The following is a 16,165-nucleotide window of genomic DNA, read 5'->3' as shown; positions in this document are numbered from 1 at the left end:
CTGACTAATATGGTACTATTATCATCCCCACTTACAGATGAGAAACACAAGGTACAGAGAGGTTAAATAAATTCCCAAGGTCACAGAATGCACAAGGGGCAGAGCCAGTATCTGAACCCAGGAAGGCTAGCTCCAGAGCCTATTTTCTTTAAGTATTATACAAGTTACTTATTAAATACAAGACACTTATGGATTTGGAGAATTCTCTCTCTGCTCTCCTCTAACAATGGCTCTTTTCTAGTTAATATGCTGCTCCAGCAATGTCTCGTCTAGGGGATTACCTCCTGGATCTTTGCACTCTACATTATTATTCATTCATTTTTGTGAACCACAATATAACTGAGCTTAGTTATTAAAATAATCTAATTCCTTCTATAACTGAATGCATTTTTATCAACCTTCTCCCTCTTGCTTTAGAACAGAAGACAACTAAGAAAAAAATCTTCTTGAGAAGAAAAAAAAGACCCAATGGTTTGTATAAAACATGAGCATTTGAGCCCTGTTAATTTCAAGTATACAGTTTTAACCAGGCAGGCATAGATTCAGATCATGAGCCAGTGTTTTCAACCATCCTTGTGTACAAAGGATTTCACATCAGCAATATTAGCATAATCTTTAAGTAGACATCAAAAAACAAAACCATAGCTAGAAAGAACCTTGAGAGGTCATCTAATCCACCCCTACTGCTAAAAAGGGGTGGGCATAAGCTAGCCAGGAAAGGCAGCTTTCTAACCTTTCATCTCTACAGAAGGAATTTCATAAGCTTCTTTGTTAATATTTCAATGCCTTAGACTGCTTACTGTAGGGGAAATTCCTAAAGTCTGGATATGGTTCTTTTTGCCTGGACAAAGCTTTTCTCCATTTAATAATAGGTCACACCACACACGGTGTGGCTCACGTCTATAATCCTAGCACTTTAGGAGGCTGAGGTGGGCGGATCACAAGGTCAGGGGTTTAAGACCAGCCTGGCCAATATGGTGAAACCCCATCTCTACTAAAAATACAAAAATTAGCCGAGTATGGTGGCATGCACCTGTAGTCTCAGTTACTTGGGAGGCTGAGGCAGGAGAATCGCTTGAACCCGGGAGGTAGAGGCTGCAGTGAGCCTAGACTGAGCCATTGCACTCCAGCCTGGGTGACAAAGCAAGACTCCATCTCAAAAAAAGAAAAAAATAGGTCACAAGGATAACACAATGATAATAATAGTAGTAGTAATAATAATAAATTGATATAAATGTATACAAATGATAAAATAAAAAAACAATACATTTTTCTGTACTTAGCAATCAAGCTCCTGGATAATTCATTAATATGAAAAACAACACACTACTCTTTAAATATAATATCTACTCTTTGTACAGAGGATTATATTTAGTATATTGAACAAATGGATTTGAGTCTCAAGACCATTGTTAGACAGGTAATATATTGACTCCATTTTACAGATTGACTCTATCTTCGTGAGAAAAATTAGGCCCAGTGCTAGTGACTTAGATCCAGGCTTATCAAGCCCAACTCTCCCATTTCTCCCATTGCACCACTCTGGAAAAGCAAACAGATCTTCTGGTAGGTTATTCACTACCAGACTACCTTTAACAGAGGTTGGCCATGGTAGAATTAAGCAATGAAAGGATAAAGAAAGTTCTTATATGCTGTTTGCTGATGTTAGACTAGATCAAAATGGCAACACATATTTTAGTTCACTGTGAGGTTGCACAGTGTTACTAACAAGCGGTCAGGGATGTGGAGAAAGGACTGACATAGCTTCTGCACTATTTTACATTTTTAAAATGAGCATATATGAGCACATATTATATACTATCTGTGCTTTTACCTATGGTATAAATACTATATATATAAAATACCTATGATATTTTTATATGCGTAAAAATATACCACAGGTGTTTTTACCTGTAAATTAAAGAGTCCTTCCCTTAAAGTATTGTGATAAAATATTTAAAAAATTATAAATAAAGATTCACAAACCATAAACCTGAAAAGAGTAGAATATTTATATCTAGAGAGGAATCATTTTAATTTTTAGGTTGGGATTTGGTTATCAGACTTTATCCACTTAAATTATTTGTCAGTAACTGCAATAACAAAACAGATCACATCTTTCTTCTTTTCCAAAGAAATAAAATGAGATGGTCAATCAAATTTGAATCATTCCTTCTCCCAACTCAGAACAGGGTCCCAAAGAGTTAGCTCTGCCCCTCGCTATAAGATTTCAGTGCTTGCTCTGTGGAAAGGTGGTATATTCATGAAGTTAAAAACCTGCTCTTTGGAGTCAGAAGACAGTTTTCAGTCTCTGCTTTGCCAGTCTTTGGCTGTGTGACTGGACCAGCTTTTTAATCTCACTACACTTCAGATTTCTTATCCATAAAATGAGGACAACAATATTACTTAAATGACATAGCTCTTGTGATAATTAAATGGGCCGATATTAAGAGAGGCACTTGAAACAATGCCTGGCACATAAACACTAGCTATTTATGGTGGTGGTGGTGTTGTTACAGTTGTTATTATTACAGTACCAAAATTCAGCTGTCTAATCTTATACTGCAAAATTTTTGGGTATTCCACTGACACAGAAAAATCAGCCGGCTAAACATTTCAGAGAATGTACTTCCTTGCAGAGTTAGAGCAAGAGTCAAAAACTACAGCCCATTGGGCAAATCTGGCTTCTTGAAGGCCAAAACCTGCCATACCCATTTGTTTTTGTATTTTTTTCCTATGGCTGCTTTTGCACTATAAGGGCAGAGTTGAGAAGTTGCAAATGAGACCATATGGCTCACATAGCCAAAAATATTTACCATCTGGCCCTTTGCAGAAAAAAAAATAAATTAGCTGATTCCTAAGCTAGAGGCAGTTTTGTTCAAGATAACGTATTTAGTCTCTTAGAATTCAAGATATGTTGCTCGTGCTAAGCAATTCTAAAGAAATTACCAACATAACCATCATCCTTTCTTCTTTGGTACCAAAGATCAAACATGAGTCTCAAGTAACTAGACAGAGAATGATCATTAGTGCCTCCACTAGTTATGGCTCTAAAGGTCCATTCCTTGCACTCACTCTTGACAGTAACAATAGCTCTCTTACTTTTCTAAAACCATGGATGAAATTCTCCTCTTTGTTGTCCTTCCTATAACATAGATATTTTCAGTTACTGTTGGAACAAAAATTTTTGGTTTTGTTGGTATATGTGTTTGTGTGTGTATGTATATATGTGTACATATGTGTGTGCCACATACTTTGCTGAGTTCTGGGAATACCATTTCTGGGAATACCATTCTTGTTCACAAGGTTGACAAAATCTCTCTGCCATGAAGCTTATATACTACCAGAGAAAAGAAAAAAGCCCTAAAGATGTATATTTTTCCTTACAAAAGATAATTTCTAATAGTGAAAGAGATGTGAAGATTATATTTAGTATATTGAGCAACTGGATTTGAGTCTCAAAACCATTGTTAAACAGGTTTGACTCCATTTTACAGATTGAATCTATTTTCATGAGAAAAATTAGGCTCAGTGACAGTGATTTAGATCCAGGCTTATCAAGCCCAATCTCCCATTTCTCCCATTGCACTACTCTGGAAAAGCAAAGAGGTGTTCAACAACACCACTGGGATGTGGATGGAGAAGGATTGGGAAGGAAGAAAAGGGGTTACTTTAGAATGGGTGGCTAGAGAAGGTCTCTCTCAAGAAGAGATATTTGTACTGAAACTCAAATAGAAAGAGGAAGATAATTTTCACATAAATAAAAATGTGTTCCATACAAGAGCAGAAATAAGCTTGGTGTTTTTGAGGATACACATGCTGATACACCAGCACAGTTTGAACACAAGCAGTATGAGGTGAGATTAGAGAGGGAGGTCCTGTGAGGTCTCATAGACCTTGGTAAGGTGTTTGAATTCAACCTGAGTCAAATGGGAAGCCATCAGAAGATTTTCAGCAGGGAAATAACATGATCTGATTTATATTGTAAAAAGATCAATTTGTCAGCTATTACAAGAATGAATAATACTTAGAAAGCAATGGAGAGTGGAAGCAGGAAGACCAAAAAGTTGGCGCTTGCAGTTCAGAGAAGAAAGGATAACAGTGGTAGAAATGGAGAACAGTGACTACTCGGGGCATATTTTGAAAATATAATTGGCTAGATTTGTTGAAGGATTAGGAAAGGGAATGAGGAAAAGGGAGAAATCAAGGATGATTCTTACTAGTCTTGTGATCTGAGCTCTACGTGGTTGGTGGAGCAGTTTACTGAGATTCATTCATTGTTCACTCATCAAATGTTTGTTGAGACCAAGTTCGTGCCAGGTACTGTTCTAGACACAGGAACTATGGCAGTGAAAGAAATAGCAAAAATCCCTTCTCTGGTGGAATTTGTCTAGGTGGGGACGGAGAATAGGGAAGATTAAGAAGCAAGGAATTAGGTGGGGAAGGTGAAGGTATCAATTACCAAATCCTGTTGATTCTACCTCCTAAAGATGTCTTGCAGTAGTTCAAGTAGAAAATGAATGGCAGCTGCATCACAGCCACATTCAGGGGTAGCCTTGAAAGATGTTGGGAAGGAAAAATCTTCTCAATAGGCAGAGCTTCATCTGGTTACTCACTTCATACAGTAGAAGTGGCCCAAGAAGTAAGAATATATAAAAATTCCTGGGTAGTGTCCAAAGGCCTGGCCTTTAGTCAGGGGTCTAGAAGGAAAAGGTCTGAAAGAGCAGAACAGTATCTTTAGTAGAGGCATGTGGATGGACATACAGATGATGAAGGATAAAGATTTCTGCATCACACAATTATACCTACCAGAAAGTATCCATCACAGTAGAGGGACTAAATAGCCAAGTAGACAAAATGAATTTGCCAATTGACAGTAGCCAGCCTTTGTCATTGGCTGCCATATAACTTACATGAAAGGCCTGTGAATCAAGAGGTTACAGTGGCAGAAACGAAGGCTACCTGTGGGCTCAAAATATGGACTTCCACTTACCAAGATATCTCCCTACTGTTGCCTCTGAGTGTCCAACCTACCTCAAAAGTACCTGTGGTTCATCTTCATAGGTATAGATAGATACCTATTTCAGATGTGGGTTTGCCTTTCCTACCCACAGAGCCTCAGCCAGCACCACTATCTGCAAGCTTATGGAATAAATAATCCACCGGCATGGAATCCCTTATGACATAGCATCTGAGCAGGGGGACCTATTGTACAGCAAATAAGATGGCCCTATGACCACGGTTCCATAGTTTGTATCACATATCATGTCATCCAAAAGCAGCCAGCCTCAAAGAAGCTGGAACTGCCTTCTAAAGGCATACCCGAATCAACAGCTCAGTGACAATTCTGACTGGATGTGGTGCCATCCTCAAGATGCAGCACATGCTTACATCAAAAACTTTTATATGGGGCTAAGTCTGCAATAAGAAGAACATGTAGGTTCAGAAACAAAGGGAGTTGGAAAACATGAATGGCCCCACTTACTGTTATTTCCAGTGATTCAGTCACAATGAGGAATTTCATACTTTCTATTTTGCAATTCTGGGCATTGCAGAGATGTATTACTGCAACTAAATAAGATTTTATTTAAGCTAAGTAAACAAATTATTTAAGTTGGAAGTCCTGATCTCCAAAGGATACGCACTCTTGCCAGGAGACACAAGTATTACATTGAACAACAAGATGTAGATGCCACTAGGACACTTTGGAGTTCTTGTGCCCAGGAACCATAAAGTCAACATACTAACAGTGAGAGTTGACCCTAATCCGCTGGAGAAGGTAGTGTTGTGTTCACACAATTAGGACAGGGAGAATATATGTGGAATCTAGGTGATCTACGTGGGTATCTCCTGGCATTTCCTTGCCTCCTGATCCCAGTGCTCTATGATACAGGCAGCAGCCACTGTATGAAAAGGTGATGGTATGATTGCCAAGGGCTTACATTCCTGAGGACTGAAGGTTTGGGTTATACCACCCAGCCACCAAGGTCTGACGAGATGATAGCTGAGGGCAAGGGGAATTTAGAATGAATAGTGGATTAGAGAGAGGAGGAATAGCATTTGTGGACCTGAGACCAACTGCAGCCTCAGAGGCTATTATTTATCCTACTAACTACCCTCATCTAAATTTTTCCTCAGAAAGAGAGGCCCACAGGAACCATGAAAGAGCTGTCCCATGAACCTGCTTGGAGAAACAGATGTCTGTGGTGCAAGGGGTAGATTACAATGGCATGAAAAATGGACAGTTCAGATCTCCTGCTGTGCCTGGACAGCTCACAGCCAATGACCACGCGCAGTATGGGTCCTAATGCAGGCCCATCCTGGAGAGATGTGGAACTCCTTTAACAAGAGATTTTGATTGCAAACTGCCCATCAGCCTGGCCAAAACTTTATTAGAATGGTACTTCAGATTGACACCCTTCCTACCCAATCCTCTTTCATTCCTGTGCCCCTCTCCTTCCTAGTTGTGGGAAGGAAGGCTCTCTCTGCATTCTCCTGCTCTCACCCTCTATCCTTCACAACAAATTTCTTGCATAGAAATTTCTGTTTTGATGTCTGCTTCTGAAGACCTGAACAAACATATGAATCAACTATTATTAATTTTATCTTGTTTTATTTCTTCCTTAAATATAAAGACCCTGGGGATAAGGTTAGGATATTTGGATCCAAAACTCATCATATACTCATGGCACTAAACCACAGGAAATTCTAAAATTTCTAGCAGTATTTCTGGTAATCTAAATAATATATATAAAAGTGTGTGTGCGCGTGTGTGTAGGTCCTTTGTTAAACCCTTGTACATTTGTGATTCGGGGCGGAAGAATTCTTTGCTTTAGAAACTATCTTGGTTCTATAATTTTTAAAAAAATCCTGTCTTTTTTCTGTTTAAAAGGCAATACATATTCATTTTTTTAAAAAACAGTGACAGTAAAAAGTTAAAAAATAAGCTAAGTAGGGACTAAGGAAAGAGTAAAAGTCAAGGGTATCTATACTGATTAAAGAATTTTTAGGGCCGGGCGTGGTGGCTCACGTCTGTAATCCCAGCACTTTGGGAGGCTGAGGCGGGTGGATCACCTGAAGTCAGGAGTTTGCGACCAGCCTGGTCAACATGGTGAAAACCCATCTCTACTAAATATACAAAAATTAGCCGGGTGTGCTGGCAGGTGCCTGTAATCCTAGCTACTCGGGAGGCTAAGGCAGGAGAATTGCTTGAACCTGGGAGACAGAGGTTGCAGTGAGCTGAGATCGCGTCATTGCGCTCCAGCCTGGGCAGCAGAGCGAAACGTCATCTCAAAAAAAAAAAAGAGATAATTTTTAAAATTCAGCAATAAAAGAGAAATGAATTACTGACACAATCAATAACATGGATAAACCTCAAAAACATTATAAGAAGGCAGGCACGAAAGGTTATATTCTGTATGACTCCACTTATTTAAAATTCTAGAAAAGTACATCTTACCTATAGTAACAGAAAGCTCTTCAGTGATTTTCTGGAGCTGGGGGCACTGACTGCAAAAGGGCAAAAGGAATTTTGGGGTATCAGAAATGTTCTTTGATTGAGGTGGTGGTTCCATGTGTGTGCATACTTATATCAAAATTAATTGACCTGTACACTTAAAATGGCATATAAATGTATTTGATATATAAATTATGCCCTGGTAAAGTTGATTTTTTAAAAACACATGATTTTCAATTTTGGAAGAAACTTGGGTCAAAATATTCTTCTTCATCCAGGCCACCATCTTTTCTTACCTACATTTTGCAATACCGTCTGATTGTATTCCCTTATGGGAATCAAGCTTCCCTCCAAGCTGTTCTTCACTCTGCAGCCAGGGTGATGTTTCCAAAAGAAAATATGATTATGTCACCCCCAATAAACCCTTCTTCTTCACATGTATCAGTCAATGTTGACTCAGAGAAATAGAACCACTAAGACATATATAGATATCTGCTATAGGGATTTGACAGTTTGTGTAACCAGTTACACAATTGTGAGAACTGGTTAAAGTTTCTGTAATGCAGCTATGTTCGCCTGTCATCTTCTGATGATGGAGTTTGAAGTCCACAGGGCAGGCAGTTGGGAAGGGAAGATGGATGTAAATTCCAGTAACAAGATGGAATCCACAAACAAAGTGACAGAAAGGAATCTGTCAGTTCTTATGGCCTCTGACTTTGGTGGTATGGGGCAGAAGGTCAGGTCCTTCATTATCATGGAACGAAACACACACCTGGTCCAGGAGTCAGGGAAACTGACAGAGGATCCAGGGAAAGGTGAAGCAGTTGAAGACTCAGCCAGTCTCACACCAAGATGAGCTAGCAGATTAAGCAACATGCATGAGCTACAAAACAGCTGCTGCTTCACTTCCATCCTCCAAATCTCCCACAAGAATTTCCTATGGCCCACCCTAACCGAGAACATACAATAAAGGGAATGCTGTGAAATGTAGTTCAGCCTCGCCAAACTGACACATTACAAAGCCATCACACCATCCCAAACCTTAAATGGCTTCCTATTACCCTTACTGCCTTGAACAAAACTTGTAGTTATTTGTGACCTACCTTTCCAGATTTTTTGCCATTATTTCCTAATCCATCTTAGGGTATATGCACCTATGTTTAGTACAAATGTTCTGACTTCTAAACCTTCCCGCATTGAATTCCCTGACTGGAACACCCTTCCTTCTTTATCTTCTCCTTCAACCTGGCTAAGACCTGTTCACCCTTACAGCCTCAGCTTCCTTTAGGAAACTTTCTCTGACATACTCTCTTCATCACTGGTGACCAGTACAAAGCCAGGTCTATGTTAGCACCCAACAGACTTCAGTTGAATGAATAAATGTGTGCTCATGAAAATTAAAACTGATTATAGTTATGTGAAGACACAGCTGGAGTCTTTGGCATAAAGGGGATAAAGTACTATAGTCAAAGTCAGTGGGCAGGCAATGTGTCCAGTCTATTGCAATGTGGGAAACTCTATTCATTTCAGCAGAAATACACACACCCTGTTTATCCCCTATTCACTCTATCCCGTTGATATATAAACCCCCACTACAACATAAACGTTCTTAGTTTGAGTTGCCCAGAAAGCAGAACCTCAGAACAAGCAGTTTGTTTGGGAGGTGATTCCTGGGAATGAGATTAACAATCAGGGAGCATGGGAAAGGGAAAATAAAAGCCAGTGAAGGGAGTATTAGAGCTAGCTAATGCTGTGGGTAACTAAACTTCCGATTCACTGGGGACCCTCTGAAAAACTGTGGAGAACCATAGATACCCTTCTGAAAGGAGGCTGAGGCACTTAGCCACCGTCATCCCTCATTGGTCGAGTATTGCCTCTGGGGAATGTGTTCCCTTCCCCCTACCAACACTTCCAGGCTGCGGCGGATGAACACTCCGTGTTAGAGAAAACAAGGCAGAGAAGTAGAGGAACCACCAACACTTATAGTAGGATGTTGGGAAAACACAGGAAACTAGCAAAGCTTAAAAAAAGTTAGAGGAAAGCCAAGGGGACGTGGCCCAAGTCATGAACAATTTCTGCTCCACGTCCCAAAGATTTTTATCTCCGTTAATCACTAGGTGCCAACATAAAGACAAAAAGAATAAGACATGTCAAATCAATTTCAGTTTCTTCTTTCAGAGAACTGATGGCTTGGGAGTTTAGAGAAATTTCATTATACTGAATTACAGTATGGATAATATGAAGAAAACAGGGCTAGGTGTATAAGGAGTAAATAGATCATTACTGGCTGACAGTTTAACTCAAAGAATGCTGATGCAAACTTTGTTATATTCCTTCCTATATATTGTATGGGAATGGTACGCCTGGAGTACTATAGTATAGCAACCCTGCCTAGCAAAAAGGAGTTGAAAGGGATAGGAGCAGGTCAAATGTTATAGAAAATTGTTTGACCTAAAGTATTAGGAAAATATAGATCCATGGTTCTCATAGGTGGCGGGATGCAGGAGGGGTGGGGTTATTTTGTTCCCCAGAAAACATTTGGCAATATCTGGAAACACTTTTGGTTGTCACAACTGGGGAAGAGAGTGCTATTGGAATAGATTAGGAAGCAATCAGGATGGTGTTAAACACCCAACAATGTACAGTACAATCCCCCTTTTCCCAACAAAGAATTATCTTACCCAAATATTAATAGTGCCAAGGTGGAGAAACCCTAACATAAAGTATATCTGGGTATCAATACATAAATGCATAATTTCTTCACATATAGCATTTAAAAATCAGTATTTAATTACAAATTATATGTTCTACAGTCCAGCAATACAAAGTGTTGCATTAGTACCACCAAAACCAAAGGAATTGGTGAGGCCAATAAATCTTTTCTCAGTTTTCCATTCCTGTGCCTTTAGTGGAACATAGTTGAGATCAAATTCTGGTTCCGAACAATCCAGGTTTAAAGTAGGTGGTAGTTTTTGATAATAACAAGCTAATGTGGTAAAAGCTGCCTCGACTGCCCCTGCAGCTCCCAGCAGATGTCCTGTTGCTCCCTTAGTTGAGGAAACTGCAAGGGCATATGCATGGTCTTTGAAGAGATGTTTGATAGCTTTGTTTTCAGCAGCATCTCCCAATGGTGTGGAAGTAGCATGTGCATTGATATAGGATATCTCCTCAGGCTGCACACCTGCATCTTTTAAAGCAGCAGCCATACACCTAATAAAACAAGAAAAGACATTTATCAGGACTAAGTTTAATTTTAACAAAAGTCTCTTTATCTGTATGGCTTATGTGAAACAAATGTAGGTATCCAAGTACACTGGATGAAAAGAATCCCTTGCTCTAGTAACGGAACACTATCTTGGATTACCATGTGAGTTAGGATGCCATCTGTATGGGAATAATGAGTCACACTCACTACCTTGGACTGGTTCATCACCAAGAGTTAAACACACAAGCCAATGCAAGATTGTATAATCTCAAATAAAACATAATTTCATTTATTTGCATTGGCAGTTTTCCTTGGGGAAAAAATACCATGTTGACTCAAGACTAGAATAATTTTTGTTCTAGGGATTTTTGGAGTGTGGCAATTTTTTATGAGAATTATAATTATGATTTTTCTTTCACATTTAAATTCAAAACTTGGCATACTTCCCAATAATCTACTGTTTCATTGTTTCAAATAATCTTTCAAAATCCTCTTTATTTAGGCTATAAGAATTCTAAACAAAAAGTACAAAGGCAAGCTAAGCCAAACAAACTTAAGAGTAAAAATTATATCTAAAAGGACCTCTGAAAACGTTTTGGATGTCATCTTCCTTTAGTTCCTAAGAGAAATATACATGTATGTATGTGTGTTTGTGTGTGTATATATATTTCTTAACAGCCAGCTCAGAGTATAATTTGAAGTATGCTGAAAGGTTTCCTGTGAACATAACCATTTCTTCATCTATTTTGTTACTATGCTTGACATTTTTACCACCAGCAACTACTCACTAAAATTCAAAAGTAGGCCAGGCATGGTAGCTCACACCTGTAATCCCAGCACTTTGGGAGGCCAAGGCAGGAGGACTGCTTGAGGCCAGGAGTTTGAGACCAGCTCTTGCTCTGGCAACATAGCAAGACCCCAACTCTACTAAAAAAAAAAAAAAGAAAGAAAAAAGAAAAACAAACAAACAAAAACAAATAAAATAAAATTCAAATGTATAATTTAGGGGTAGGTAAACTATGGCCCTGGCTAGATGCCTATTTTTGTAAATAGTTTCATTGGAACACATTCATGCCCACACATTTACATACTGTCTACGGCTGCTTTCACATGACAATGGCAGAGTTGATTAGTTGCAACAGACTCCATGGCCCACAAAGCCAAAAATATTTACTATATTTTTCCCATTACAGAAAAGGTTGCTAACTCTGGCTAATTTAACTGAGTAAAACATAATATGATTTAAGAAAGCTAAACTATTAGCTATCTATTAACACATTATCAGGGACTTTTTATTTTTATTTTTTTGCATTTTAAATGCACTAATCTATAACAGTTAACTTAAATGTAGTCCTTAAACCAGCAGTATCACCATCACCTGTTAGAACTACAGAATCTCTCAGCCTGGGAAATAAAGTGAAACCCCATCTCTACAAACAAATTCAAAAAAAAGAAAACTGGTCTCAGTGGCGCATTCCTGTAGTCCCAGCTACTCAGGAAGCTGAGGTGAGAGGATTGCTTGAGCCCAGGAGTTAGAGACTGCAGTGAGATAAGACCAGCATGGGCAATACAGAGAGACCCTGTCTCTAAAAAAACAAAACAAAACAGAATCTCAAGCACCACCCTAGACCTACAGAATCAGAATTAGCATTTTAAATAAGATCCCTAGGTGATTATAGTTTGAGAAGTGCTGATTTGAAAAGAACAGAATCCTGTTGAAATGGAGCAAAACCAGACACATCTAGAAGGGTTGACTTTACTTTCCAAGTCTGATGAAGGGTCAAAGAGGAGGACTTTGTGAGGGAGCACACTGATGCTTAAGCACAAATGCAGGCGTGAAAAGTTGGCAAAGACACACATGGTCTTTTCCACAACTCCATTGGTTTTTAACTCAAATGCAATTTTTGTAAGTATGTTCAAATGCTTTGAAATACTTCAAATGTCTTAAGCAAAGAACTAAACAATCTTGTTTAGTCTAAAAAAGAAAAACAACAGAGATACTGTACACCAAGGCCAGACACTACAACTTCCCTAATTTGGGATTCCCAATAAAGTGTCTTATTTGAAGAAATATTTCGAAGGAAATAACCCATCTTTACCTTAAGGCACCTTCTCCTTCAGGATCAGGGGCAGTTATGTGACCAGCATCACCTGAGAGTCCATAGCCCAAAACTTCTGCATAGATCCGGGCTCTTCTTTGAACAGCATGTTCATATTCTTCCAGCACCAGCACAGCTGCACCTTCTCCCATTACAAAACCATCTCTCTTTGGATGAAATGGTCGACATGCCAACTTGGGATCTGAGTTTGTGCTCAGAGCCCGGGCTCTGGAAAACCCAGCAAGAGATAAAGGGCTAATACAAGAATCTGTACCTCCAGCCACCATCACATCAGCATCACCATGGGCTATAAATCTAAATGAGTCTCCCACAGCATGAGCTCCTGTGGTACAGGCTGTGGATACTGCATGATTTGGGCCCTTGAGTTTATATCGAATGCTGACCTGGCCTGCTGCCATATTGACCAGAATCTTAGGGACAAAAAATGGGCTAACTTTATTGTAACCTTTTGTCTGAAAATTCAAAGCAGTTTCAGAAACAACTTCAAGAGGAATCATTCCCATGCCAATTGCAACACCAGTAGCCACTTGATCAGCTTCTGACTGAGGATGCCAGCCAGAATCCTTCATGGCTAATTCTGCAGCCCCAATGGCCATGATGGTGGGAGAAGACATGGACTTGATATCTGATTTGGACACAAAGTTTTGTTCATTGAACTGACCTTCATCACTACCTCTTGGCACATAAGCAGCAACACTGCAAGGGATACTCTTATACTCTTCACCAACCAGTGAAACAATTCCACTCTCTCCTCCGATAAGACGATCCCAAACCAGGTGAGTTCCAACACCAAGAGGAGTCACTAAGCCAATGCCTGTAATGACAACTCGCCTATGCAATCTGGATATTGGCACAGTTCCGAAAAACTTCCTTTTACTTCTTAACTGTTGGCATAATCTTGAACATAGAAGACGAGTGCTTGTAATTTTCAGGAAATTTTGCAGGCAGTTGGACATGATTAAGATTCAGATGATCAGAAACACATTCCTGTAAAAGACCACAACACACCTAGGAGGTATTCTTTTAAATAGCTTAAGGGCCTAAGGAAAAACATCCAAGGTGTTCCTTTGGGTGCTTGATATGAGCTGCTAATGAACACAGGGAAAATGTTACATACTTTCAATTTATACCTTAACATCAAACTATCTGTTTAAACTTACCTTCTTTTTTAGACCTTAAGTGCCGTCAGACATTTGAAGACAAATAAATGAATTGATGATTCATTCGAGTCACCAAAACAGTAATTCAATGAAAAATATAAAGGCACCTCCAGCCTGATTTGAGCTGCAGGAAGCATCCTTTGTCAGGATTACTGATAACTTCTTCTAAATAGCATTTCTGGTGTCAGTGGCACAGAAAACACATTTCAGGGCATATTCTTTTAAGTAAGTAAGTGGGCTTTATCAATCTTCAGTACTTAAGGATAACCAGCCTTTTCAAAACGCTACCCAGGGCCAAGAGCCCTAGACTGAGCGTCTGGATACATGGGTTGGCAATACACTCTGTGACCAAGCTTGCGATGGGGGAAGGGGACAAGTCTTTCCACTCCTCTAAACTTCTCCAATTGAATCATTGGTGGAAGGAGGGGTTACGACTAGTGGATCACTTCAAGGGTACTACGAAGGCCAGGGGCGGGAGTAAAAGAGTGTAGCCATTCCCTGTATCGCCTCTCAGGCACCACCACACATGTACACAGCCCGAAGAAGCATGGCGAGAGAAAAAGAAATCAGGCCCCAGGTCCTCGGACTCCCCTCTCGAAATTCAACCCCGACTTGATTTGAATGTAAAGGAGGAAAGGAGGGGCGAAGGAGGAGGGTAGCCAGCGATACCTGTAACGGGGCTACCCCGGACACTTCTCCACAGTCGGGGGCGATGACGCTCTCGAGCGCACGCGCACACGCACGTACGCTCATGCGCGCTCGCACGTACGCTCATGCGCTTTCCCACGCACGCGTCCCGTTCGACTCTCTTTCCGCCGGTTGACTTTAAGCCGCGTCACCTTGGCTGAGGTCAGACCGTGGGAGGCGGCTGGGTAGCTGTTTGCGTGAGCAGAGACGCCCCTCTCGGAACCTCAGTGACTCGCCGATAATCGAGGACCTGCCAATAACGCGATGAGGTAGCATTTTCACCCATCAAAAAGGCATTTTTCTTTGGCAGTGATAATGCCCAAATATTCCCTTTTGTCGGAGAAGGGACACCATCGTATTCTACTGGAATTGTAAGAAAGAATTAAGGAAATTCTCTGCAGTTTCAAAGTTATTGCTATAGCTCGCAACGTTATTAGTAATTGTGAGTAAAGTGGAATTAACCAAAATGGCCAACATCAGGAAATTTGTTGTGTATCTTGTGGTACATCCAAATGCCATGCAGCCGTTTAAAATAATTCTGCAGGTGAATATTTATTAATGAGATGTTGCGACTATTTGTTAGGAGACATAGTTACAAAACAGTATATATCCGTTTTTTCAAAAATAATTCTTTAAAGGTCTGCAAGATGTATACTGATTGTGATCTTTCCCTCCTTATTTTTGCTTAGCTTTATTTAATAAAGCTTTTCTACAATAAACAAATGTTTTTGTAATAAAGTTTTTACTTTTTAAAAGTTGTCACCAGGCTGTTCTGCCTATGGAGTAGTCATTCTTTGTTCCTTTACTTTCCTAATAAACTTCCTTTCACTTAAAAAAAAATTATCACCAGATTTGAGACAGTGCTCAAAAATTGTCTCCATTGTCACAATGGAGACATTTGTTTCTAAGTGTGAAAAATTCATTAACTGTTTGCTTAGAGCTGACTGCAAACCGATAAAGGGAAAATATAACATGAAAATGTAAAAAAGCAAGAAGTCGACAAGATGGTATTCATCGAACATCTGTTTTTCACATGCTATCCCAGGCGTGAGTTTTGTCCTTGCTCTTCTTTAGAAAAATGGTTGAGCATAGAATCTTCATCTGGACCTTCTAGTCATATTTATGGTTTTTTCTGGGCAATGCCTCTTGAAGCCATTGTTTCCAAGTAGAGTGCTCTGCATTCTTTCCTACCCCTACAGAAGAATGTGAGTCAAGCTTAGCTTTCCAGGTTGGTCCTGGATTTAAATGAGTTTGGAAATCTATTTTGTTTAAAATAATTCAGCAAAGCTCAGTTTGACCTTCGTCCCAGGCCTAACCAGTCACCTCTAGTTGATCCTCATTCAGTGACAAAGTAGAGTTTCTTGAAGAATTAAAACAAACACATGTGGTTATAAAGTAACACTTGATGAGTAAGTACCTAAACTTGATCTCTTTTCATTGCTGTCTTTAAAATAATAGTGTGAAAATACCTACAATATTTTCTCTGAAGCTGAACTCATAAGAAACATACAGTTTTAATGTGCTATTTCTTTTGTAA

At 39.6% G+C, this 16,165-nt stretch overlaps 2 protein-coding genes across 6 annotated transcripts in view, besides 5 other annotated features; one reads left to right on the top strand and one right to left on the bottom strand.

The window, feature by feature from the left end:
- On the bottom strand, window positions 10,227-14,668 carry OXSM (3-oxoacyl-ACP synthase, mitochondrial). 5 transcript variants are annotated; one of them, NR_026937.2, is made up of 4 exons: window positions 14,611-14,668; window positions 13,443-13,768; window positions 12,761-12,988; window positions 10,227-10,666 (listed from the first exon to the last, which is right to left on the bottom strand). NR_026937.2 is itself a non-coding variant. In XM_006713217.5 (4 exons), exons 3-4 carry the CDS (start codon window positions 12,910-12,912, stop codon window positions 10,264-10,266), a joined length of 555 nt encoding a protein of 184 aa, XP_006713280.1. In that variant the 5' UTR covers window positions 12,913-12,988; window positions 13,443-13,768; window positions 13,942-14,668; the 3' UTR covers window positions 10,227-10,263. The 5 variants fall into 5 exon arrangements, 4 of the variants coding, with proteins under 4 accessions (XP_006713280.1, NP_001138863.1, XP_006713279.1 ...); XM_006713217.5 differs by having other exon boundaries at window positions 13,942-14,668; NM_001145391.2 differs by having other exon boundaries at window positions 12,761-12,812; window positions 13,062-13,768.
- Window positions 14,371-14,440: an enhancer, noted in NCBI's record as "active region_19613". NCBI's record gives its function as "activates an Ori minimal core promoter by ATAC-STARR-seq in GM12878 lymphoblastoid cells {active_cell/tissue: GM12878}" and the evidence as "EXISTENCE:reporter gene assay evidence [ECO:0000049][PMID:35858748]".
- Window positions 14,451-14,520: an enhancer, noted in NCBI's record as "active region_19612". NCBI's record gives its function as "activates an Ori minimal core promoter by ATAC-STARR-seq in GM12878 lymphoblastoid cells {active_cell/tissue: GM12878}" and the evidence as "EXISTENCE:reporter gene assay evidence [ECO:0000049][PMID:35858748]".
- Window positions 14,623-14,842: a silencer, noted in NCBI's record as "fragment chr3:25831407-25831626 (GRCh37/hg19 assembly coordinates)". NCBI's record gives its function as "represses an EF-1alpha promoter that drives an FKBP-Casp9 reporter gene in an ReSE screen in phorbol 12-myristate 13-acetate-treated (for megakaryocytic differentiation) K562 erythroleukemia cells {active_cell/tissue: K562(+PMA)}" and the evidence as "EXISTENCE:reporter gene assay evidence [ECO:0000049][PMID:32094911]".
- Window positions 14,623-15,189: a biological region, named in NCBI's record as "H3K27ac-H3K4me1 hESC enhancer GRCh37_chr3:25831060-25831589".
- Window positions 14,660-15,189: an enhancer, noted in NCBI's record as "H3K27ac-H3K4me1 hESC enhancer chr3:25831060-25831589 (GRCh37/hg19 assembly coordinates)". NCBI's record gives its function as "activates a minimal SCP1, AML or CMV promoter by ChIP-STARR-seq in naive H9 embryonic stem cells {active_cell/tissue: H9 hESC(naive)}" and the evidence as "EXISTENCE:reporter gene assay evidence [ECO:0000049][PMID:30033119]".
- The window catches only part of NGLY1 (N-glycanase 1), a 71,096-nt gene continuing 69,649 nt past the window's right edge, over window positions 14,719-16,165 (top strand). Inside the window, exon 1 of the mRNA NM_001145294.2 lies at window positions 14,719-14,897. Coding sequence (NP_001138766.1) covers window positions 14,893-14,897 — 5 coding nt within the window. The 5' untranslated portion in view covers window positions 14,719-14,892. The remainder of the gene's footprint in view (window positions 14,898-16,165) is intronic.

The sequence above is a fragment of the Homo sapiens genome, chromosome 3, assembly GCF_000001405.40.
Source record: "Homo sapiens chromosome 3, GRCh38.p14 Primary Assembly".
NCBI lineage: Eukaryota > Metazoa > Chordata > Mammalia > Primates > Hominidae > Homo > Homo sapiens.
Note: the sequence above shows the minus strand (reverse complement) of the source record. Positions and strands in the feature narration are given on the sequence as shown.